Below are 27,290 nucleotides of genomic sequence, written 5' to 3'. Positions count from 1 at the left end.
TTTCTCCAAACACGCCTCTGCCCCTGTGTCTACAACACCCATTCAGGCAAAGCACAGTATGCTGCGAATCTGCTTTACTGGGAGCCAGTGGTCGTTTAGGTCTCTGTTCCCTCACCTGCAAAATTAAGTTGACTCTAAGGTCAACTTTGGTCACCTCCTAGTTCACATTGTCTAACAGTAGCCCGTACTCCCCAATCTGGTATCCTTTGTCTCCTGAAAGGACCCAGCAGTCCAAGGTCCAAGGGAGGAATTCAGAAGCAACACTGTTTAATCTAGAAAAATACGTTAAATTGCTGGGCTGAGACTGACAGTCAAAGGTCCCAAAGCAAAAACAACTGAGAGTCCCATGATACTGGCCTAGCTGCTTTTCTAATATTTGCCTTACTCAGCGGACACAGCAGAAAGAAAGAAGGTAAGACTTTGTCCTAAATACCAGAGTTCTGACTTTTCTACTAAGGAGGAGAAAAGGCATAAGCTAGGGACCTAAAGAACTAGATAATTCATTTTTATTTAGGTTATACAATTGCTATTTACTGATTTACAATTTACTGTTATTACTAGTGTGTGCATAGCAAGGTGCTCATCACTGCTCTGAATACCAGTGGGTCTAGCTAGGTGCAGTGGCTCACAACTGAAATCCCAACACTTTGGGAGGCTGAGGTGGGAGGATCACTTGAGCTCAGGACTTGGAGACCAACCAGCCTGGGCAACATTGCAAGAACCCATCTCTAAAAAAACAAAACAAGGGCCGGGCACAATGGCTCATGCCTGTAATCCCAGCACTTTGGGAGGCCGAGGCAGGCAGATCACAAGGTCAAGAGTTCGAGACCAGCCTGGCCAACATGGTGAAACACTGTCTCTACTAAGAATACAAAAATTAGCTGGGTGTGGTGGCATGTGCCTGTAATCCGTTACTTGGGAGGCTGAGACAGGAGAACTGCTTGAATCCGGGAGGCGGAGGTTGCAGTGAGCTGAGATTGTGTCACTGTACTCCAGCATGGGCAACAGAGCAAGACTCCGTCTCGATAAAACAAAACAAAAAAATACTGGTCGTGGTGTGCACCTGTAGCCCTAGCTACTCTGCAGGGATCACTTGAGCCTAGGAGTTGGAGGCTGCAGTGAGCTCTGATCACTGCCACTGCACTCCTGCCTGGGTGACAGAATGAGACCCTGTCTCTATAAAAATACATAGGTGGCTGGGCGTGTTGGCTCACGCCTGTAATTCCAGCACTGGGAGACCGAGGTGGGTGGATCACCTGAGGTCAGGAGTTTGAGACCAGCCTGGCCAACATGGTGAAACCTCATCTCTACTTAAAATACAAAAATTAGCTGGGCATGGTGGCACAAGCCTGTAATCCCAGCTACTTGGGAGGCTGAGTCACGAGAATTGCTTCAACCCAGGAGGCGGGGAGGTTGCAGTGAACTGAGATCAATCACACCACTGCACTCCAGCCTGGGCAACAGAGTGCGACTCTGTCTCAAAAAAAAAAAAAAAAAAATATATATATATATATATATATATATATATATAGAGATAGATAGGTAAATTATAAATTAGTAGATAGATTAAAAAACCAATGGGTCTGAGTAGTAGCCTCAGCCCTCAAAATTTAAGAGTTAGCAGGGGTAAGTTACATATCATGCTTTCTTGAGTACTGTATGTTTTTTCTCATGATAATTGTCTTCTAGAAGGGAACTTGGTTATTGTGAAAACCTGATTGTAAACACAGAGGAGAGGATAGTGTCAGCATCTTGTAAGTATTACTGGTGATCAGGGACTGGTTCAGAATCTTGGCAAGGGTTTAGCCCAGCTTCAATTGATCTTTCTTTAGGTTGACGGCAACTTGTCTTCTAAGACCACCAATCTTGTGGCTTTCTTCCCATCTTTCACCTTCCCTTTCACATAGTTAATGCCTGTGGTAAATGGAGAGGGATGGAGCGAGAGAAACTGTTGAGATTAGCTGGGTATTCAGGAGCAAAGTAAACAGTGACACATAAAAGTAGGAGAATTATTACAGCAATTAGGAATAAACAGATTTCTAAAGTTGAAATTGCCAGAGAGAGAGGCCATGAGGAAACATAATTGAAAAATTAGGCAAGTTTCTATGGGACAGGTAGATATTTTCTTCTCAGATATAGGCACCACTCTTGCTAATTTGGTGATCAGAATTCCTATAAAGCTTTGATAATTTTCATATTGAGATAGCACTAATAGTTGTCTTCAAAACATGGTTCTATGCTGGATGATAGCTCTCTTTCTTTTATTTATTTATTATTATTTTTTGAGATGGAGTTTCACTTGTTGCCCAGGCTAGAGTGCAATGGCACGATTTCCAATTCTCCTGCCTCAGCCTCCTGAGTAGCTGGGATTACAGGCGTGCACCACTACGCCCAGCTAATTTTGTATTTTTAATAGAGATGGGGTTTCACCATGTTGGCCAGGCTAGTCTTGAACTCCTGACCTTGGGTGATCTGCCCGCCTCAGCCTCCCAAAGTGCTGGGATTACAGGCATGAACCACCATGCCCGGCCACTCTCTTTCTTTTAAATCACTTTATCGAGGTAAAATTGATATACAATAAATTGCAGATATTTAAGGTGTACAGTTTTATAAATTTTGACATATGTATGCATCCAGGAAACTGTCATCAAAATCAAGATAGTAACCATATATCTATCTACCATTAAAGGTACTTCTTTAATACCTTCTCCATCCTTCCTTTCCCTTGCCACAAACATGCCCTACTTTCTGTGACGGTAGACTAGTTTACATTTTCTAGAGTATTATATAAATGGAATCATATAGTATGTACTCTTTTATTGTCTGGCTTCTTTCACTCAGTACAATTATTTTGAGATTAATCCATGTTATTGTATCAATAGTTCATTTTTATTGGTAAGTAGTAGTCCATTTTATGATCACATCAAAATTTGTTTAACCATTCATCTGTTGAACTTTGAATTGTTTCCAATTTTTGACTATTACAACAAATAAAGTTGCCATAAACATTTATATAGAGGTCTTTATATGAATATGCCTTTCCTATTCTCTTGAGTAAATACCCAAGGTAAAATAGCTGAATCCTAAGGTAGGGATATGTTTTTTTGTTTGTTTGTTTGTTTTTGTTTTTTAAGAAAATGCCAGCCAGGCGCAGTGGCTCACGCCTGTAATCCCAGCGCTTTGGGAGTCCGAGGTGGGGGGATCATGAGGTCAGGAAATGGAGACCATCCTGGCTAACACGGTGAAACCCCATCTCTACTAAAAATACAAAAAATCAGCCGGGCATGGTGGTGGGCGCCTGTAGTCCCAGGTACTCAGGAGGCTGAGGCAGGGGAGTGGCGTGAACCCGGGAAGCAGAGCTTGCAGTGAGCCGAGATCGCGCCACTGCACTGCAACCTGGGCGACAGTGTGAGACTCTGTCTCAAAAAAAAAAAAAAAAAAAAAAAAAAAAAAGAAACTGCCAAACACTTTTCCAAAATGGTTATACCATTTTGCAACATCAATGTAGAAGAGTTCTAGTTCCACTGAGCGCGGTGGCTCACGCCTCTAATCCCAGCACTTTGGGAGGCTGAGGTGGGTGTTCAAGGTCGGGAGTTCGAGACCAGCCTGGCCAACATGGAGAAACCCCGTCTCTACTAAAAATACAAAATTAGTCGGGCATGGTGGCGCATGTCTGTAATCCCAGCTACTCGGGAGGCTGAGGCAGGAGAATCACTTGAACCTGGGAGGCGGAGGTTGAGGTGAGCCGAGATTGCGCCATTACACTTGAACCTGGGCATCAAGAGCAAAACACTGTCTTAAAAAAAAAAAAAAAAGAGTTCTAGTTCCTCAATATTGTCACTAACACTTGTCTGTGTCAAATTTATAAATTTTAGCCATTCTAATAAGGCTATAGTAGATTCTCACCATGAGTTTCATCTTGCATTTCCTTAATGCCTAATGATGTTGAGCAACTTTTTAAATAGACGTTAATTTTTAGAACAGTTTTAGGTTCACAACAAAATTGAGTATAAAGTACAGAGTTCCTGTATCCCCCCAACCCCCACACATGCATAGTCTCCACTACTATCAACATCCCTCACCTGAGTGATACATTTGTTACAATTAATGGACCGGCACTGACACATTATTACCATCCAGAGTCCATAGAGTTTACATTAGGGTTCATTCTTGGTTTTGTACAAATGTATAATGGTTTGGAAAAATATATAGTGACATGTATCCACAATTCTAGCATCATAGAAAATAGTTACAGTGCGCTAAAAATCCCCTGTGCTCCACCTATACATCCCTTCCTGTCCTCTAAATGCTGGCAACCACTTATCTTTTTACTATCTCCATAGTTTTGCCTTTTCCAGAATGTCATATATTTGGAATCATACAGTATATAGCCTTTTCAGATTGCCTTTCTGCACTTAGCAGTATGCTTTTAAATTTTCTCCATGTCTTTTCATGGCTTGGTAGCTCATTTTTTTTGGTGCTGAATAATATCATATTCTGGATACACCCACAGTTTTTCCATTCACCTACTTGAAGGATGTCTCAGTTGCTTCCAGGTTTTGACAATTATAAATAAAGCTGCTATAAACAAGCATGTGCAGGTTTTGTTTGTTTTGTTTTTTTAGACAAGGTCTTCCTTTGTTGCCCAGGCTGGACTGCAGTGGCACGATGATCAAAGCTCACTGCAGCCTCAGCCTCCCAGGCTCAAGCAATCCTCCAATCTCAGCCTCCCATGTAGCTGGGACCACAGGCATGCACCACTATGCCTGGATAATTTTTTTATTTTTTTTTTGTAGAGATAGTGTCTCCCTATGTTGCCCATGCTGGATGTGTGCAGGTTTTTGTGTGGCCGTAAATTTGCAACTCATTTCAGTGTATACTAAGGAGTGTGACTGCTAGATCGTGTGGTATAATTATGTTTAGGTTTTTGTTTGTTTGTTTGTTTTTTCAGACAGAGTCTCACTCTGTCACCCAGGCTGGAGTGCAGTGGCACGATCTTGGCTCACTGCAACCTCCGCCTCCCGGGTTCAAGCGATTCTCCTGCCTCCTATTCTCCGAAATAGCTGGGATTACAGGCGCCCACCACCACGCCCTGCTAATTTTTTTATTTTTAGTAGAGATGGCGTTTCACCACCTTGGCCGGGCTGGTCTCCAACTCGTGATCTCGTGATCCGCCCGCCTCGGCCTCCAAAAGTGCTGGGATTACAGGCGTGAGTCACCACGCCCAGCCCATGTTTAGTTTTATAAGAAACTGAAGGCCGGGCACGGTGGCTCACGCCTGTAATCCCAGCACTTTGGGAGGCCAAGGCAGGCGGATCACGAGGTCAGGAGATCGAGACCATCGTGGCTAACGTGGTGAAACCCCGTCTCTACTAAAAATACAAAAATTTAGCCAGGCGTGGTGGCACGTGCCTGCAGTCCCAGCTACTCGGGAGGCTGAGGCGGGACAATAGCGTGAACCCGGGAGGCAGAGCTTGCAGTGAGCCGAGATCCCACCACTGCACTCCAGACTGGGTGACACAGTGAGACTCCATCTTAAAAAAAAATAAAAAAAAAGAAAGAAAGAAACTGAAGACAGCCAAACTGACTTCCAAAGTGGCTGTAGCATTTTTGCATTCCTAGCAGCAATGAGAGTTCCTGTTGCTCCACATCTTCCCCAGCATTTGGTATCGTCAGTGTTTTAGATTTTTACATTCTAATAGGTGTGTAGTAGTATCTCAGTGTTTTCATTTGCAGTTCTCAAATGACATATACATATGATATTGAACATTGTTTCCTATGCTTATTTCCCATTTGTATATCTTCTTTGGTGAGATGTCTGTTGAAATCTTTTGCCAATTTTTAAATCAGGTTGTTTTCTTAGTGTTGCATTTTAAGCTTTGTATATTTTGGATAACAATCCTTCATCAGGTCTGTCTTTTGCAAATATTTTTTCCCAGTCTGTGGTTTGTCTTCTCATTCTCTTGAAGAGCATCTTTTTTTAATGTGCATAATTGCCATCCATATATCTTCTTAGTTGAAGTATATGTTCACATCCTTAGTCTATTTTTTAGAAATTGCATTTTTTACTGTTTTGATAGTTCTTTCTATATTTTGAAGTCCTTTATGTGATGTGTACTATGCAAATACTTTCTCCCAGTCTGTTTCTTATGTTTTTATTCTTTTAACAGTGTCTTTTAAAGTACCAAAGTTTTAAATTTTGGTAAAGTCCAATTTATCAATTTGTTACTTTATGCTTTTGATGTTGTATCCAGTAATCTTTGCCTAACCCAGTTAGGCAAAAGGTCACAAATATTTTCTCCTATTTTCTTTTAGATGTTTTATAGTTTTAGGTTTTCTGATCCATGTTGTGATCTATTTAAGGTTGTGATCCACTTTGTTTTCATATATCTTGCAAGGTATGGATCCAAATTAATTTTTTGCATATGGATGTCCAACTGTTTCCCTCCCTCCCTGCCTGCCTTCCCTTCCTCCCTCCCTCCCTCCTTCCTTTCTTCCTTCCCTCACTCTTTCTCTCTCTTTTTCTTTTTGAGGCAGAGTCTTGCTCTGTTGCACATGCTGGAGTGCAATGGCCTGATCTCGGCTCGCTGCAACCTCAGCCTCCTGGGTTCAAGCGATTCTTCTGCCTCAGCCTCCTGAGTAGCTGTGATAACAGGTGCCCGCTACCACGCTCGGCTAATTTTTTAATTTTTTTAGTAGAGACGGGGTTTCACCATGTCGGCCAGGCTGGTTTTGGACTCCTGACCTCAAGTAATCCGCCTGCCTTGGGCTCCCAAAGTGTTAGGATTACAGGCGTGAGCCACTGTGTCCGCCCTGCACCATTTCCTTAAAAGGCTGTCTTATCTTCACCATATTGCCTTGGCACCTTTGTCAAAAATCACTTATCCATACATATGAGAGCGTATTTTTGGCTATTCAGTTCTATTGATCTATTTGTCCATCTTATTCCAGTACCACCCTGTTTTTGATTACTATAGCTTGATAATAATTATTGAAATTAGGTAATGCTAGGCCTTCAACTTAGTTCTTATTCAAAGTTCTTTTCGGCTTCTCTAGGTCCTTTGTATTTCCAGATGAATTTTATAATTAGCTTGTCAATTTCTACAAGATGCCTGCTGGTATTTTTATTGGGATTGCACTGAATTTGAGGAGCAAAGAATCTCAACAATACTGTTTTATGACCCATGAACAAGGTATAGTCCCTCATAAAGACTGTCTTTGTCTCAGCAATATCTTGCAGTTTTCAATATAGAGGTCTTTCCCATCCTGTCAGATTTATCCCAATATATTTCATATTTTTATGCTACTGTAAACGGTATTTTAAAATTTCCAATTATTCAGTCTTTATTGCTAGTGCATAGAAATCCAAATGATTTCTGTATATTAAACTTGCATCTCATAATCTTGCTAAACTCACCAGTCTAGATACCTATATGATTTCTTTTTCTTACCTAAATGCTCTGGCTAGAACTCCTAGTACAATGTTGAATAGAAGTGGTGAGAGGCCGGCCGGGTGCGGTGGCTCACGCCTGTAATCCCAGCATTTTGGGAGGCTGAGGTGGGCGGACCACGAGGTCAGGAGATCGAGACCATCCTGGCTAACACGGTGAAACCCCGTCTCTACTAAAAATACAAAAAATTAGCCGGGCCTAGTGGCGGGGGCCTGTAGTCCCAGCTACTCGGGAGGCTGAAGCAGGAGAATGGCGTGAACCCGGGAGGCGGAGCTTGCAGTGAGCCGAGATCGCACTACTGCACTCCAGTCTGGGCGACAGAGCGAGACGCCATCTCAAAAAAGACAAACAAACAAAAAAAAAACAAAAACAACAACAACAAAAAAGAAGTGGTGAGAGGCCAGGTGTGGTGGCTCATGCCTGTAGTCTCAGCACTTTGGGAGGCCAAGATGGGAGGATTACTTGAGCACAGGAGTTCAAGCCCAGCTGGGCAACATAGTGGGACCCTATAACTATAAAAACTACAAAAATTAGCCAGGCATGGTGGCGCGAGCGTGTACTCACAGGTACTTGGGAGGCTGAGGTGGGTGGATGGCATCAGCCCAGGAGATGGAGGCTGCAGTGAGCTGTGATCCAACAACTACACTCCAGCCTGGGTAACAGAGTCAGACCCTGTCTCAGGGAAAGAAAAAAAGCAAAAAAAAAAAAGCAGCAGCAGGTAGAGTATATATGTGTCTCATTCCTAATCTTGAGGAAGGCCAGGCATGGTAGCTCATGCCTGTAATCTCAACTCTTTGGGAGGCCAAGGTGGGCAGATCACTTGAGGTTAGGAGTTCGAGACCAGTCTGACCAACATGGTGAAACCCCATCTCTTCTAAAAAAAAAAAATACAAAAATTAGCCGGGCGTAGTGGCAGGTGCCTGTAATCCCAGCTACTTGGGAGGCTGAGGCAGGAGAATCACTTGAACCAGGGAGGCAGAGGTTGCAGTAAGCCGAGATCATACCACTGCCCTCCAGCCTGGGCAACAGAGTGAGACTCCATCTCAATCAATCAATCAATAACTTGAGGAAAAACATTCAGTCATTCATCATTAAATATGATGTTAACTATAGGTTTTTCATAGGTGTCCTTTATCAGTTGAAGAAGTTCCCTTCTATGCTTGCTTTGTTGAGAATTTTTATTGAGAACAGATGGATTTTGTCAAATGCTTTTTTCTGCCTCATAAGGTTTTTCTTTTTTAACTTAATATGGTAAATTACATTGATTTTTATTTTGTTTTTGAGACAGGGTCTCACTCTGTTGCCCAGGCTGGAATGTAGTGGCATGACCATAGCTCACTGCAGCCTTGAACTCCTGGGCTCAAGCACTCCTCCTGCCTCAGGCTCCCAGGTAGCTGGGACCACAGACATGCACCACCACACCTGGCTAATTAAAAAATTTTTTTTGTAGAGACTCACTCTCATTATGCTGCCCAGGCTGGCCCTGAACTCCTGGGCTCAAGTGATCCTCCTGCCTCAGCCTCCCAGAATGCTGGAATGACAGGCGTGAACCACTATGCCTCACTGATTTTTAAAAAATATTAAACCAATCATGTATTCCTGAAATAAATCCCACTTGGCCCATGTTGTATTATCCTTTTAATATGTTGTTGACTTTTATTTACTGAAATATTGTTTAGAATGTTTGCATGTATTTTCGTGAAAGATATTGGTCTTTAGTTTTCTTCTCTTGAAATGCCTTTGTCTGGTTTTAGTGTCATACTAATGCTGGTCTTGTAGAGTGATTTAGAAGAAATCTTCTTCAGTTTTTTGGGAGACTTGGAGTTGAATCACTATTATGCCTTCATTAAATGTTTGGTAGACTTCACTACTGAAACCAGCTGGATCTGGAGTTATTTTGTGGGGAGTTTTTTTTAACATCAATTCCATTTCTTTATAGATATAGGGCTATTCAGGTTATCAACTTCTGGAGTGAGCCTCAATAATTCATGTCTTTCAAGGAATTTTTCTATTTCAGCTAAGTTGGCAAATATATTGGCATAAAGATGTCCATGATATTCCTTTTTTTTTTTTTTTTTTTTTTTTTTTGAGAGAGTCTCACTCTTGCCCAGGCTGGAGTGCAGTGGGGCGATCTCAGCTCATTGCAACCTCCACCTCTAGGGTTCAAGTGATTCTTGTGCCTCAGCCTCCCAAGTAGCTGGGACTACAGGCACATGCCACCATGCACAGCTAATTTTTGTATTTTTAGTAGAGATGGGGTTTCGCCAGGTTGACCAGGCTGGTCTCGAACTCCTGACCTCAGGTGATCCGCCTGCCTCAGCCTCCCAAAGTGGTGGGATTAACAGGCACGAGCCATCATGCCTGGCCTCCTTATCTTTATAATAGCTATAGATACAGTATGTAGTGATCACGACCCTCATTCCTGATACTGGTAGTTTATGTCTTCCTCTTTATTTCCTGATCAGCCTGGATACAGGTTTATCAATTTTATTGATCTCCTCAAAGAACTACAGTTTATTTTTGAAGTCTATTATTGTTGTCACATTGAGTCCATTGTGCTAAAATGCTACTATGCCAGAGCAGTATATGGTAAATAGAAAGCACTCTATCAGTATTCATTGAATGAATCAGTGAATGAAAAAAAAGGAACCACCGATTTCTCCATGTAAAGTCCTTTTATTAGGACTGTTCTAGACAACAGCAGTTAGTCTTTAGACATGAGACCAATCTGTTTTGAAATCAGCAATTTCCTTATCTCTTATTTATGTCTTTAGTACTAAGAAGATAGAACTCAGTAGCACCTTCAGAGGCCAAGTGAAATGAAAGGTTTGAGGAAGTGCCCCAAAAGAAGGCTAAAAGGAGATGAAACTTGCTACTGGCAATGAGGGAGGGAGGGAACCTTGAGAAGAAAACAGATGGGGATGCTGGAGACACAGTGGATCAGAGAAAGAGTAATAAAACTATAACACAGTAATCTTGGGATATTAAAGGTATATGAAAGAGTTTAAACTCTAGTAACAACAAATGAAGGTCATACCCAAGAGTGATGACTACCTCAGTCATTACAGTAAAAATTTCAACTTAATAGCATCGGTGTTTCAAAAAGGTATGTGAGAAATGCTCAGATATTAAAGGAGAAGGGGTACATAAATTGACTTAGGAAAATTGTGAAAAATAGGATTTCCATTTATATGTAACACTGAAAAGTAATATACCGGGCCTATCTACTTCCTGACCTATTTAAAGGGAAGATTTTAAGATTTCTAGTCAAAGAAGGAAGCACAAAAGGGCCATGACATACCTAGGTGGAGAAAAGCAGAAATCTCTCATTGTATTCACCAGGCTAAAAAATCACCAACTTGATTAAACTTGAGTTCTAGTCTCAGTAGCAGCCAAACACAGTGGCCTTGGGTTTGCATGCCTCCTATGCTGTTTGTATTTTGGAAGGTTTTTTTCCTCTAATGTTCAAACTGCACACATTTAGAAGTATATACTTTTTTGCCCCCTACCTTCAGGTATTTCTTTATAGAAGTACATACTTTTATTAATTTTCCTATAATGTATTCACCTATGAAACCACATCCACCACCCCCAAGCTTTCCTCGGGCCCCTTTGTAATCTTACCCTTCCATTCCACCCCCTCCACATACCCCACTCCAAGTTTCCAGGGAACCACTGATTTATTTTGTTACTATACATTAGTTTGTATCTTCTATTTTTATATACATGGAACCAGAGTGTATACTTTTGTCTGACTTCTTTCACTCAGCATAAGTATTTTGAGATTCATCTATTTTGTTGCTTATGTTATCAATTTGTTCCTTTTTGTTGGTGAGTTGTATTCCATTGTATGGCTATGCAATAATTTACTTATCCATTCACTTGCTGATGGAAATTTGGGTTGTTTCAAATTTTTGCCATGATTTATAAAGCTGCTATATGTAGACATATGCTTTCATTTCTTGGGTAAGTACCTAGAAGTGGAATAGCTGGGTAACTTCTTTAACTTTTTAAGAAATTGTCAAAAATTTTCCAAAGCATTAACTCTTTCCTGAATTGAATCAAAAGAAAAACAAAACATAACATTTTCCAAAGTGGCTGTACAATTTTGCACTCTCACCAGCAGGCTATGAGAGTTCCTGTTCCTCCACATCATCCTCAACCCTTGGTATGGGCAAAGAGAACCTTTGGGATCTGGGATTCTTCTTATTGGGATTTATAAATACATTCATTTATAACTTAACTATTTGTACATGGACAAATCACTTTACTGCTGTCATTTTTTTTATGTGAAGTGAAAGGTTTAGATTCTAAAATTGTTTTTAATTATTGTTTTCATTTCAGTGACATTTAAGAAGTGTCAAATCTATTTTTGAGTGGGTAATACCTTCTTTTGGTTCAAAACATAAAGGACACAAATGACTGCAATGAAAATTCTCCCACCTCTGTTCCCCAGTTACAGTTTCCCCTTCCCAAAGGCAACCAGTGTTATCAGTTATCTTTCTACAGATATGGTATGCATTCTCATTCTTTTTTCAGATACATAGTAATCTATTTTTATCAGTGTGCCACAATTTATTTAGCAATCCCTGTAGAGATGCCATTTTGGTTAATTCTAATTTTTATGACAATCAGTGCTGCCACTAATAGCCTTGAGCATATATTATTATACACATGGGTGAGAATACCTATAGGATAAATTCCTGGAGGTGGAATTACTGGATCAAGATATATGTCCATTCTTAATCTCAGTCAATATTGCCAAAATATCCCCCACAAAGGTACTCTAAATTTATAATCCCATCAGTACTGAAAAAGTTTCAGAAAATACCATTAGAAGTTTGCATACTTTTGCAAAGTATGGATGAAGAATGGATGGTTCTAAGAAATACCTAAAAGTTGGTAACCTAGACCTCCAAAAAATAGGAGAGTAGGAATGTACAATACCATGGAGTACGAAGTAGTCACTTAATGTGGAATAATTACTCATTAATGTGAAAAAGTGTCCATACTCCATTGCCAAGTGGAAAAAAGCTGACTTTAAAACCAGTGTACAACTCTATTCATGCTTTAAAAAGTTAGGACGTTGGCCGGGCGCGGTGGCTTATGCCTGTAATCCCAGCATTTTGGGAGGCCGAGGCGGGTGGATCACCTGAGGTCAGGAGTTCGAGACCAGCCTATCCAACATGGTGAAACCCTGTCTCTACTAAAAATACAAAAATTAGGCTGGTGCAGTGGCTCACGCCTGTAATGACAGCACTTTGGGAGGCCGATGCAGGCGGATCACAAGGTCAGGAGATCGAGACCATCCTGGCTAATACAGTGAAACCCCGTCTCTATGAAAAATACAAAAAATTAGCCGGGTGTAGTGGCGGGTGTCTGTAGTCCCAGCTACTCAGGAGGCTGAGGCAGGAGAATGGCATGAACCTGGGAGGCGGAGCTTGCAGTGAGCCAAGATGGGGGCACTGCATTCCAGCCTGGGCGACAGAGCGAGACTCTGTCTCAAAAAAAAAAAAAAAAAAAATTAGCTAGGCATGGTGGCGCATGTCTGTAATCCCAGCTACTTGGGAGGCTGAGGCAGGAGAATCGCTTGAACCTGGGAGGCAGAGGCTGCAGTGAGACAAGATCACGCCATTGCACTCCAGCCTGGGCAACAAGAGAGAAACTCCATCTTCCCCCCCACCAAAAAAAAAAGTTAGGATGTTTATATATAACGTTTAATATTTTTATACACATAGCAAAAGGCATGCAAGTATATATACCAAAATGTTAACAGTAATTTCTTGTTACTTAATAATTTTTAGTTTTAACTCATTTTGATATTCTAACTTTTCTATAACTAAAATGTATTACTTAAAAGTTTCAGAAGTTATAAAAAATGTCAGATGCTCTACAATTTAAAATAAAGGATTTTGTTCAGACAAAAAGTAGTTCAGTAAGTAAAGGGGTTATCTGGAATATTATGGGGGCCAGAGGAATAAAAACCTTGTCTAAATTTGATCCTTGTTGGCCAACAGTTTTGGAGTCACCAAATTTTACCTTGTGACAGATTTTGAAAGGAGAAATAAGAAATGGAAAGTGACAAGACAGTAAAAGATAAGTTGGCATTTTCTCCTGCCCCTCAAAATTGCGACTTGCCAGTGTTCTGATTCATAAAGGTTCCTGGCTCAAGAACTGAGTATTTGGTAAGAATGCAACCAGTGCTTCCAGAGAGCAGAGGCTAAAGACAGTACTGACATAATGGAACAAAAGCTGGACTTGGAAATCAGAAGAAATGGGTTTGAGTCCTAATTTTGACACTTCCTTGACCACTCTCTTGACCATTTGGAACCTGTTTTCTCATGTGTCAAAATAACAGTGCTTCTTTCATATGGTTGAAATAGTATGAATGGAGCTTAATTCACTAACAGAGCACTCAGTTCTACCAATTATTTTCATCTTATTTTGAAACAGTTCATTGGGTATTTTTAAAAATTATTAAACACATTTTAACATAGCAAGGAATAGAGAAAATATGATAAATACTCAACTTATTAAATCATAGCATTTGGTCATATTTGCTTTAGCTCTTTTTGGAGGGGGGAATAAATGCCCCTGTATACCCTCTCCATGCCTTTCCCCTTTTTCCAGAGAAAACCACTATCCTGAATTTGGTGTTCTTCATTCCCACTCATATTTTTTCTTTTTGTTTTTTTGAGATGGAGTCTTGCTCTTGCCAGGCTGGGGTGCAATGGTGAGATCTCGGCTCACTGCAACCTCCCCCTCCCGGGTTCAAGCAATTCTCCTGCCTCAGCCTCCCGAGTAGCTGGGATTACAGACATGCAACACCACACCTGGCTAATTTTTGTATTTTTAGTAGAGACAGGGTTTCACCATGTTGACCAGGCTGGTCTTGAATTCCTGACCTTGTGATCCACCCGCCTCGGCCTCTCAAAGTTCTGGGATTACAGGTGTAAGCCACTGCGCCCAGCTTCAAGTTCTTACATTTATGATGACATATACAAAACTAATATATTGTTTTGAATATTCCAATTTTGTATAAATGTTATAAGTATGATTTGGCAACTTGCTTTTTCTACTTGTTTTTGAGATTTGAGCCATGTTGATACATTTAGCTGCAGTCCATTCATTTTAACTGCTTTATAGTATTGCATTTTGTTAACATGCCACAATTTATTTATCCATTCTCCTGTTAATGGCCACTTAAAATGGTGTATATTGCTAGGGGGAATTCAAGATGGTACAGTCAAACAATCCAGCAATCTTACTACTAGGTATTTAGTCCAGAGAACTGAAAACATTATGTTCACACAAAAAGCTATATATGAATATTTATGCTGGCTTTATCCACAATTATTAAATGTCTGGTCATAGATAAGTTTAATGAGATTTAATTTATGTTTCTATTTGAGAGCAAGTCTGGATAGGGAAGAAAGAGGAGAACTCCTGAAAGCAGTTACCACTTGGTGGGAAAGGTGCCCCATCAAAAGAACACTCCCAGAAAAATCTGAGTGTATTCAGAACTATCTTGTCAAAAGTTAGCTATCATAGTACATATAGGGCCAATCCTGGAGAAAATGACTACATCAAGGAAATGGTTAATTGAAAGAAAACACTGATGGGGGAATCCAAATTGTTAAAGAGGAAGTCAGACTGTCGCTGTTTGCTGATAAAATGATCGTATACTAGAAACCCTAAAAACTCTCCAGAAGCTCCTAGAATAAATGAATTCAGCAAAATTTCAGGATATAAAATTAATGTACACACATCAGTAGCTCTGCTATACACAAACAGCGACCAAGCTGAGAATCAAATCAAGAACTCAACCCATTTTACAATAGCTGCAAATAAAATAAAATAAAATACTTAGGAATAAACCTAACCAAGGAGGTGAAAGACCTCTATAAGGAAAACTACAAAACACTGCTGAAAGAAATCATAGACAACACAAATGGAAACACATCCCATGCTCTTAGATGGGTAGAATCAATATTGTGAAATTGACCATCCTGCCAAAGCAATCTACATATTCAATGCAATTCCCATAAAAATACCATCATTCTTTACAGAACTAGAAGAAACAATCCTAAAATTCATGTGGAACCAAAAAAGAGCTGGCATAGTCAAAGCAAGACTAAGCAAAAAGAACAAATCTGGAGGCATCACATTGCCTGACTTCAAAATGTACTATAAGGCCATGATCAACAAAACAGCATGGTACTGGTTTAAAAATAGGCACACAGACCAATGGAACAGAATAGAGAGCCTAGAAATCAGGCCAAACACAGCCAACTAATCTTCGACAAAGCAAACAAAAACATGAAGTGGGGATAGGACATCCCATTCAACAAATGGTGCTAGGATAATTCGCAAGCCGCATGTAGAAGAATGAAACTGGATCCTCATTGTTCACCTTATGCAAAAATCAACTCAAGGTGGATCAAAGACTTAAACCTAAGACCTGAGACCATAAAAATTCTGGAAGATAACATCGGAAAAACCCTTCTAGACAGTGCCTTACGCAAAGACTTCAAGACCAAGAGCTCAAAAGCAAATGCAACAAAAACAAACAGATGGTACTTACTAATAATTAAACTCAAAAGCTTCGGCACAGGAAAAGAAACAATCAGCAGAGTAAACAGACAATCCACAGAGTGGGAGAAAACCTTCTCAATCTATGCATTCAACAAAGGACTAATATCCGGAATCTACAAGGAAGTCAGACAAAATCAGCTAGAAAAAAACAAGTCCATTAAAAAGTGGGCTAAGGACATGAATAGACAGTTCTCAAAAGAAGATATACAAGTATCCCACAAACATGAAAAAAAAACTCAACATCACTGATTTTCAGGGAAATGCAAATCAAAACCACAATGTGATACCACCTCACTCCTGCAAGAATGGTCATAATCAAAAAATAAAAAAAAAAAAGATGTTGGCAAGGATGTGGTGAACAGGGAATACTTAAACGGCTGATGGGAATGTAAACTAGTACAACCACTATGAAAAACAGTGTGGAGATTCCTTAAAGAACTAAAAGTAGAACTATCATTTGATCCAGCAATCCCAGTACTGGGTATCTACTCAGAGGAAAAGAAGTCATTATATGAAAGATACTTGCACACGCATGTTTATGTGCATACTTGCACAATGCACAATTGCAAAAATATGGAACCAGCCCAAATGTCTGTCAGTCAATTAGTGGATAAACTGTGGTATATATATATACACCATGGAATACTACTCAGCCATAAAAATGAATGAAATAATGGCATTTGCAGCAACCTAGATGGAATTGGAGACTATTATTATTATTATTATTATTATTATCATTATTATTTTCCTTCTTGGAGACACAGTCTTGCTCTATTGCCCAGGCTTGAGTGTGGTGGTGTGATCTCGGCTCACTGGAACCTCCGCCTCCTGGGTTCAAGTGATTCTCTCCCCTGGGCCTCCCAGGTAGCTAGGATTACAGGTGTGCATCACCACACCCAGCTAATTTTTATTTTAGTAGAGACAGGGTTTCACCATGTTGGCCAGGCTGGTCTCAAACTCCTGACCTTAGGTGATCCACCTGCCTCACCCTCCCCAAGTGCTGGGATTACAGGCGTGCACCACCACACCAGGCCTGGAGACTTATTCTAAGTGAAGTAACTCAAGAATGGAAAACCAAACATTCTATGTTCTCACTCGTAAGTGGGAACTAAACTATGAGGATGCAAAGGCATAATATGATACATTGGACTTTGGGGACTTGGGGGAACGGGTGGGAGGGGGATGAAGGAAAAAAGACTACACAATGGGTACGGTGTACACTGCTCAGGTGATGGGTACACCAACATCTCAGAAATCACCACTAAAGAACTTATTCATATAACCAAAAACCACCTGTCCCCCAAAAACTTATTGGAAAAAAAAAATCACTGATGGGCTGCCCATGCACATTCATCCCTGGAAACCAAGAGAAAACCTGAGCAATTTGTTACCCTCCAACTGGGACCAAAAAAGTTCTTTAAGGATAATAAATATATGTTTTGTGTTATAGCAGAAGGGCAACTAGTATAGGGTTTACAGATAAAATACAGGATACGCAGTTAAATCTGAGGTTTTTGTGTGTGTTTGTTTTTGAAACGGAGTCTTGCTCTGTTGCCAGGCTGGAGTGCAGTGGCACGATCTCCGCTCACTGCAACCTCCTAGTTCAAGTGATTCTCCTGCCTCAGCCTCCCAAGTAGCTGGGATTACAGGCATGTGCCGCCATGCCCAACTAATTTTTGTATTTTTAGTAGAGACGGGGTTTCACCATGTTGGCCAGGATGGTCTCAAATCTCCTGACCTTGTGGTCTGCCCACCTTGGCCTCCCAAAGTGCTGGGATTAGCGGCGTGAGCTACCACGCTGGGCCTTTTGTTTTTTTTGAGATGGAGTCTTGCTGTATTGTCCAGGCTGGAGTGCAGTGGCACAATCTTAGCTCACTGCAACCTCCGCATCCCAGGTTCAAGCAATTCTCCTGCCTCAGCCTCTTAAGTAACTGGGAATACAGGCATGCACCACCACATCCCACTAATTTTCGTATTTTCTGTAGAGATGAGGTTTCACCACGTTGGCCAGGCTGGTCTTGAACTGCTGACCTCAGGTGATCCACCCACCTCAGCCTCCCAAAGTGCTGGGATTACAGGCATGAGCCACCGTGCACAGCCTAAGTGTGTTTTAATAAATAACCATTTTACATGGGACATCCTTATATGAGGAAATTATCTGTTGTCTGAAATTCACATTTAACTGGGTATCCTGTATTTTTATTTGCTCACTCTGGCAACCCTAAAATGATGGGATTCTTGAATCAGATTGTCTTGTTTAATGTAATTTAGCCTCGAGAAGAAATCCAATTACTTGTACAGAGTAATCATTTATTGTATCTATGTGGAAGTTCCTTAAGCTTTTCACAATAGAACTTTTCAACATGAATTCTGCATGACACAGATTACAAAGTGAAGATAGCTTCATAATTATGTGAAGTACAAATACCAAAATTATAAGCACTGCCCTTATTCTGTTTAAAGAGATACATAATGGATCTATATGAATAAAAGAAGTTTTTTTTGTGCTTGTCAACATGGAAAACATTTGATTTTGTAATAAAATTTAAAGAACTAAAAAAATTTCTACTCTGTGAAAACATTAAGCATGTATTTGTTACAAATTCCTCATTAGAGCAAACTCCATTCTAAGAGTCAACCAACCTTCACTAATGATGGATGTCATCACTTATTGTACTCTTCCTTTAATGTGATAAAAATCTGTGTGTAACCACATGAAAGTAATGGGAAAAGGAAGAACAAACAAGGAGAGAAGGAAAAATAGCTCATCAATTTAGGAATATTTTCAGATCAGACTGTTAAACAAATCTGCTTTAACACTTTTCAAATGATTTTTTTTTAATTACTTTGTGAAAAGAACCTTGGCTGGCACAATGGCTCACGCCTGTAATCCCAGCACTCTAGAAGGCCGAGGCAGGTGGATCGCTTGAGCCCAGGAATTTGAAGACTAGCCTGGGGAACATGGTGAAACCCTGTCTCTACTAAAAATATAAAAAAATTAACCAGGCAAAGTGATGAACACCTGTAGTTCCAGCTACTTGGAAGGCTGAGGTGGGAGAATCACCTGAGCCAGGGAAATAGAGGCTGCAATGAGCCATGATTGCACCCCTGCACTCAAGCCTGGGTGACAGTAGTCAAACGTAAGACCCTGTCTCAAAATAATAATAATAATAACCCTAAAGACCTCTTTTAAATGTCTGGCTTTAGGCCAGGCGCCGTGGCTCACACCTGTAATCCCAGCACTTGGGTGGCCAAGGCGGGTGGATCACTTGAGGTCAAGAGTTTGAAACCAGCCTGGCCAATGTGGTGAAACCCTGTCTCTACTAAAAAACAAAACAAACAAACAAATGTCTGGCTTTAAGAACTCAATCATCTAGTAGGATAGAAACACACATGCACAAGTAAACATCAGGTAAATTGTCAAGTAAAATAATACAGACTGAAAAGCTATCAGAGCATAAAAGAGGGCACTATTCTGGTTGTAGTGAGAAGTCAGCAAAAGCTTCATGGAAAAGTGGCTCTTGAGACACCTCTGGACAAGCAGGGTTGAGAGTGGTAGGGAACTGCTCAAACCTTGACCACCTGTCCTTTTTGCTCCTGTTCCCCTACCACTCTCAGTCCTACTTGACTCCTATCCTGCATCAGGTCTACTCTTGCCCTGGCTCATTACCTGGACCATTTCTATCAATCTCCCCTCCCCCATGTCCCTGGAACACTATACTCTCCATATCTCTCCTTCTACTTCCCCAGCCAATTCATAATCTTCACTGGAGTTCAGTTTTCTTGTTGCTTTCTCTGCAAAGCCTTCCCATACCACCCCTGCCTTCAAACTAGTGGGCTCTCTATCATTATCTCATTGCACACCATAACTTCATATGCTTATTATACCTGCACTTAAGAATTACATGAGTTTGGATAAGCAGAGACTGTAATAAAAAAATAATAATTACATGAGTTAACTGTTTACATCTACCATATTATTACACCGTGATTATACATTCCATGAAGAGAAGGACTTTATTCTGTCTTGTTCACCGTTGTGGCTCCTGGGCCTTAAGCTTATGCCTGGCACATAGAAGATACTAAATAAATCATCAATGAATGAATTCTGTTAATTGGTTTTATATATGGTTGAATATAGCTTTGAATGCTTTCACACTCTTGATAGCTATGTTAAATTACAGGGCTTAAGGCTGGGCGCGGTGGCTCACGCCTGTAATCCCAGCACTTTGGGAGGCTGAGGCGGGCGGATCACAAGGTCAGGAGATTGAGAACATCCTGGCTAACACGGTGAAACCCCGTCTCTACTAAAAATACAAAAAATTAGCCGGGCGTGGTGGTGGGTGCCTGTAGTCCCAGCTACTCAGGAGGCTGAAGCAGGAAAATGGCATGAACCCGGGAGGCGGAGCTTGCAATGAGTGGAGATCGCGCCACTACATTCCAGCCTGGGCAACAGAGCAAGACTCCGTCAAAAAAAAAAAAAAAAAAAAAAAAAAAAAAAAAAAAAAAAAAATTACAGGGCTTATAAGAAAGGTATGTAAGCAAATTAACTGGGCAATCCACATAGATTTTCATAACTTAAAGCAATTTCATAGAAGGCATAGTATGTAGTAGTCTTTTAATATGCTAAGTGCAACCATCTTTCTTAGTGAAAGAGAGGAAAACTAGAAATTTAACACAAAATAACAAACAATAAAAGCACACAATGTCCAGCTGGGCACAATGACTCACACCTATAATCCTTGCACTTTGGGAGGCCGAGGCAGAAGGATCGCTTGAGCCCAGGAGTTCAAGACCAGCCTGGGCAACACAGCAAGACCCTGTCTCTACAAAAAATTTAAAAATTAGCCAGGTGTGGTGGCACATGCCTGTAGTCCCAGCTACTCAAGAGGCTGAGGTGGGAGGATGGCTTGAGCCCACGAGGTCAAGGCTGAAGTGAGCTGTGTTCACACCACTACACTCCAGCCTAGGTGACAGAGCAAGACCCTGTTTCAAAAATTGAAATACATAAAAGCACACAATGCAATACTAAAACAGAAAGCACCATAATCTTTTAAATAACTTGATTTTACAGATGGCAACTTGCATTATATTAGAGTGTCTTTATATTTTTACTTTTTTTTTTTTTTTTTTTTTTTTTAGACAGAGTCTTGCTCTGTCATCAGGTTGAAGTGCAGTGGTGTGATCTGGGCTCACTGCAACCTCTGTCTCCCGGGTTCAAGTGATTCTCCTGCCTCAGCCTCCTGAGTAGCTGGGACTATAAGCACGTGCCACCACGCCCAGCTAATTTTTGTATTTTTAGCAGAGATGGGGTTTCACCATATTGGTCAGGATGGTCTCAATCTCTTAACCTTGTGATCCGCCTGCCTCTGCCTCCCAAGATGCTGGGATTACAGGTATGAGCCACCGCACCCAGCCTATATTTTTACTTTCTTAGTTACATTTAAGAGGTATCTATTCAAAGTTTACCTAAACTCAAAATATGCTCAATATTTGAAATGTCATACTTAGTCAATATTCACTTAATTTCATAATCCTTTCCAGCCTCCAAATGAAAGGATTTTAACAGTGTGTATCTATTCAATGAATACACAGTTTTGCTCTTTGTAGCAACATCCCAATACTTCATGACCAAATTTGTATCAATTAGAAGGGACAGTACTCAAGCTGATAACTTATTTATCTCACATTTATTGAATTGCTACAGAAGGAAATCATTAAAATATTTAATGTATAAATCTAAGGTTGCCTCCTAGGTCCAAATGGATTTAAATGACACTTTTTTTTTCATTTTTATAATTAGTAGAAATATTTTATTGTAAAGGCTGAATATACTAAAATGCTTGGTTTTGTGAAATCTGATTTTCCAACTGTAAGTTACAAGCACTTAGGAAAAAAGCAATCACTTAAATGAAAACTAAAAGTATAAAGCCTATGTTTAAAACATGGCCTTTATTAATACTGCCCACTGAGCTCCATTTTTATTTTACATTGAGATACTTCTGCTTTGCAAAGAAAAGACAGAAAAGTGCATTTTACAAGAGTACTTTTTTTGTTTTTAATTCTCTGAGAAAATGGAATCTGAATCACAAGTTCACAATGTAGTAAAATGAAATTAAGAAACAATGATTTCAGTAATGCTATGCCATCACTAGTGTTTAGCTCTGACTTTTTCTTGTAAATCAGATCCTGATATACAGTCTAGAGCATCTAGGTTATTATTCTACAGCATATTAAACACAGAAAAGGAGGTTTAAAAAAAAAACCCCTTTCAATGTACAAACATGAATTTAAAAACTGCTTTTATAAAATCACCTTTTTACATAATGTATATGCAAAACTGCTTTAAATACATGATTTTGGAAGAATTATTTACAAAATCTATCAGTCTGTGGAACAATTCACAGACAAAGCATACATAGTTGCTTTACTTAGTTGTTGCATCTCAACTTTGGGAGATATAAATTCATTCGGCAGTATAGCAAACATAAAAACTGTGACAAAGTATCTTAAGGGCAACCAAAAATTTGATCCTCAAAACAGTTTAAATACTAGGACTGCCAAAGTTTCTAAACAAGGACATACTTTAATGATCCAGATGCCCATTTATAGTTCTATACTGTTTGATGGACTGAGACAGACTCCCTTTAACACAGGCAAGGCTGCAGGATGCAACCTCCTGTAAAAAGGACAGCTGAGAGCTATTGTCATCCAAAGAGTGAATTAACCTAGAATTTTCTTTTTTTAAATTTTATTAATATTTTAAAAAATACATAAAAATACAACATCCAATGTCTGAATAAATATATTTAACAAGTTGCAAGATAATACCTTATTTTACACAAAAATTTCAGCTTTAGAAATCTTGTTAAATAACTTCATTGTTGTTATATATTTCATTTTTGTCTTTTTGTAACAAAATAAAAACTCTGAAATTACATAGAAAAAAGACAAAATATTTTTGTCAAGGGATAAGATAGTCCACTGAAAACTTATTCACAATTCCACTGTAAACATTAATAAACATTAAAATATTTGCATAATTTTGTGCTCAAAAATCCTATAAAAAGTGGAAGACTTATTACAACTGTAGTTTTCAGTCAACTACACTTCCTTTCACAATTTATTTTGTCCCATTTACACCTTCAATCCTGGGCACACTGCTGAACATATACTTTGGCAGTTCTAAATAGCAAGTGCTTCCACAAAAATAAAAAAAACGATAATGAAAAAAAACACAACATAAACCCCCTACTCACCAAGTGTTCAAATACATCTTAGTGAAAGTGCAGCAGTAACTATTCAGCTGGGTAATATTTTGATGTTTATCATGTGCACTTGCTTGTCTACGATTTCTGTAACACCTGAAAGCTTTATTATACAAATTCAAATTTGCTAAGTGCCCTTTGTTCTATATCACAACAAACGAAAAACAAAAGTAAAGAGGAAAAATTATGACAAATATGGCAGGCTGCTTAACCTTCACTTATTAATCAGCTTATTTTTTGCAACAAGAAAAAAGAAGAGAGAGGGGAATAGATACAATCCAGCCTGGAAAAGTATACAGGATATACTTAGCAATGTCAAACCAGTTGAGTGCTTTCTGTGGTTGTAATTCAGGGTTTGGGGATTTATGTCCATGGCAGCAAACTGCTGGGAAGGTAGAGAAAATGTTTATCACCTGCATTCTACAGCAAGTACATTTTGTGGGGGAGATGATGATGAGGGACTCATTCCAGTGTCTGATGAAGCAGATGACATGGAGGCTCCCGCATGAGACACTGTGGAATCAAAACAACTATGTTAGATCCAAAAACTGTTACACAAAGATACCCAGCTAACAGCAAATTAGAAATAAAATTCTTAACATTATTCACCTTAATCACAGGCCTCTTATATGTCACATGAAGGAGTAACAAATTGTCAGCAAAAATTTTGTTTGGCTCAATTAAGTGGAGTTAGTCTTTGGTCAGTTAAGCACTACTCAACACTTAAAAATACATCATAAAATGTAAAGATTAAAGAGACAAAAACTCTTAAACCTCTAGTTGGGAGATCCCATGAAGGAACTTGGCTCAATCAGAAACAAGGTCAACCTGAGATAAACATGGAACCATATGGAATTTCTGCTTTATCTATGGGTCATAGGACCGTAAGAGAATTAATTTAACTCAGAGGATTTCCTCTGACAGGTATCAGAATCATGGAGATCAGGATCAAAGTAATGATGTGTGATAAGCAAAAAGTCCTCAAATGGTTTTAACATAATTTTCTCCAGGAGGACATAACACAGATTAGGGATCGGTACTCTGAGCATTAGGTGTTTTGCCACTTTTTAAGTTCTTTGCTTTTATCTTCTCTTTCCTTGCAATACTCTTGTCTTCTGCCTTTCTTTGCCTGATTGTTCCTATTTTATTTAAAATTTTAATTTTTGTTTATTCAAGTATCATGACAACCTCTGGGGCTCAAGCGACCCTCCTGCCTCAGCCTTCCAAGTAGCTAAGACATGCCACTGTACCCAGCTAATTTTTAAATTTTTTGTAGAGATGGGATTTCACTACGTTGCCCAGGCTGGTCTCAAACACCTGGACTCAAGTGATCTTCCTGCTCCAGCCTCCCAAAGTGCTGGAATTATAAGCGTGAGCCCCATGCCCAGGCAACAAATTCTTACATGTATGCTACAAATCACTCAAATCTCAATTTAATAACTCATTATAAAAACATAAGCAAATAAAAATGGGGAAAAGACTATAATAAGCTGGGCATGTTGGCTCATGCCTATAATCTCAGCACTTTGGGAGGCCAAAGCAAAAGGATTGCTTTAGAACAGGGGTTCCAGACCAGCCTGAGCCACATAGTGAGAATATGCCTCTACAAAAAAAACTAAAAAATTAGCTGGGTGTGGTGGCAGGCACTGTGGTACCAGCTACTCGGGAGGCTGAGGTGGGAGTCGCTTGAGCCCAAGAGTCTGAGGCTGCAGTAAGCCGTGATCATGCCACTGCACTCCAGTCTGGGTGCCAGAGCCTGTACCCCCCAACAACAAAAAAGACGGTAATAAAAAAATCTTTTTGGCTGGGCGCTGTGGCTCATGCCTGTAATTCCAGCACTTTGGGAGGACGAGGTGGGCAGATTACTTGGGATCAGGAGTTGGAGACCAGCCTGGTCAACATGGTGAAACCCTATCTCTACTAAAAATACAAAAATTAGCCAGGCATGGTGGCGGGCACCTGTAATCCCAGCTACCCGGGAGGCTGAGGCAGGAAAATGGCTTGAACCCGGGAGGCGGAGGCTGCAGTGAGCCAAGACTGTGCCATTGCACTCCAGCCTGGGCAACAAGAGTGAAACTCTGTCTCAACAAAAAGAAAATCTTTTTAATTGTCTGAAATGTATGTCACCTTTAGGAAACTGACCCCAGAGCAAGTGGTGGGTTCTTTGAAGAAATTTTAATTTGCTAATTTGTTCTTTTCTTCTTTTGATATTCAAAAGTTCTGTAAAGACTTCTTGCTATTTACAGTTTTTAAAAGAAAAGGATGAACATGAGAAGTCTGATCTCTTTCCATTTGCTCCATCCTGTTCCTATTTCTAGGAATTAAAAACTGCTGGACTTGGAGCACAATGGTCAAGGCCACACATGACACGTCACTCTACCACAAAGTCATCCACTAAATCTCTACTAGAGGCAGAAAACTTCTCTCAACATGATCAACCCTATCAGGTAATTTACCTTTTATTTGGTTTTTAAGAGACATCCCTTCTGGAGCTTTCCCCTCCTGTTCCATCCTACTCCTGGAATAGTTGCTTTCTAGGTCTGCTATGCAGTGGTCATCCTAGAGCTTCCATTCACCATCACCTTCAGATATTCCTTCACTATTTTCCTATGTAGGATTCCTTGTTTGCCAGTCCCATGTCTTCTTAGCTTGGCTTCTAGTTTCTAGTACTACCATTGAGAAATCGGATGTAAGACTCTTGATGCTGTTCTGAGATCCATTTCTTTTTATATATGTATCTTTATATGGTAAATTTTTAGAATCTACTTTTTTTTTTTTTTTTTTGAGACAGACTCTCACTCTGTCACCCAGGCTGGAGTGCACTGGCGCGATCTCGGTGCTCACTTCCGGGTTCAAGTGATCCTCAAGCCTCAGCCTCCTGAGTGGCTGGGATTACAGGCATCTGCCACCATGCGCAGCTGACTTTTGTAGTTTTAGTAGAGACAGGGTTTTGTCATGTTGGCCAGGTTGGTCTTAAACTCCTGGCCTCCAGTGATCTGCCTGCCTCTGCCTCCCAAAATGCTGGGATTACAGGCGTGAGCCGCTGTGCCAGGCCTAGAATCTACTCTTTATCCACAGGATTCTGAAATTTCATATGCTTTGGTGATTTTCACCCCCATTATTTATAGAGGGCACAGTGAGTCCTTTTCTAACTCATATCCTTCAGTTCTAGAATTTTAAAAATATCTTTGATGACAACTTCCTCTTGTTTATTCAACTCTCCTTCTAGAAATCCTATGATTCAGAAGTTGGATCTCCTCGCCAGATTCCATATTTCTCTTATTTCTTCTCTCCTATTGTCTTTTTGACCCTCTAGTGGAATTTCTTCAGCTTCACTGCCTTATTATTTTTTTTAAATTCCTGCTATCATATTTTAAAGATATCCTTCTTGTTCTCTGAATTTTTAAAATAGTTATTATGCTTTTGTTTCAAGGTGGCAATCTCTTTCCCTTTATCTCTGGATACAAATTGAACATCCCTAATCCAAAAATCCAAAATCTGAAACTTTTGAGCACCAACGTGGTGCCACAAGTGGAAAATTCCACACATAAGCACTTACCACAAACTTTGTTTCATGCACAAAATTATTTATATAAAATTACCTTCAGGCTATGTGTATAAAGTGTCTATGAAACATAAATGAATTTTGTGTTTAGACTTGGGTCCCATCACCAAGATATTTCATTATGTACAAATATTCCAAAATCTGAAAAAAATAAAAAACCCAAACACTTCTAGACCCAAGCATTTCAAATAAAGGATACTCAACTTGGATTAACTATTAAGAATAGTTTTGTCCTATTTTTTTTTTAATATGGTACATTATCTGTTTTTTTTCTTCCAGTTCCTTTTTATTCTCCTTTTTCTACTTTGGCTTCTGCCTTTATGTAGGGGCTTTCCTCAAATGTCTGGTCATGTGGCTTCCATATTTAACATTAAAAAGCTGACTGAAAGCTGTATATGAGCATCAGGGCTT

At 39.8% G+C, this 27,290-nt stretch overlaps 1 protein-coding gene and 1 long non-coding RNA gene across 10 annotated transcripts in view; one reads left to right on the top strand and one right to left on the bottom strand.

Annotated features, from left to right (window-relative positions):
• TOMM20L-DT (TOMM20L divergent transcript) lies at positions 8–25,690 on the top strand. The gene is made up of 2 exons (NR_187161.1): positions 8–412; positions 25,633–25,690. It is a non-coding gene; the product is annotated as a TOMM20L divergent transcript (long non-coding RNA).
• ARID4A (AT-rich interaction domain 4A) overlaps positions 21,837–27,290 on the bottom strand; it is a 75,322-nt gene continuing 69,868 nt past the window's right edge. For all 9 annotated transcript variants that reach the window (XM_005267964.3, XM_005267965.3, NM_002892.4 and 6 more), the window contains one exon: positions 21,837–23,827. In XM_005267964.3, coding sequence (XP_005268021.1) covers positions 23,724–23,827 — 104 coding nt within the window. In that variant the 3' untranslated portion in view covers positions 21,837–23,723. The remainder of the gene's footprint in view (positions 23,828–27,290) is intronic.

Source organism: Homo sapiens, chromosome 14, assembly GCF_000001405.40.
Source record: "Homo sapiens chromosome 14, GRCh38.p14 Primary Assembly".
Lineage (NCBI taxonomy): Eukaryota > Metazoa > Chordata > Mammalia > Primates > Hominidae > Homo > Homo sapiens.
Note: the sequence above shows the minus strand (reverse complement) of the source record. Positions and strands in the feature narration are given on the sequence as shown.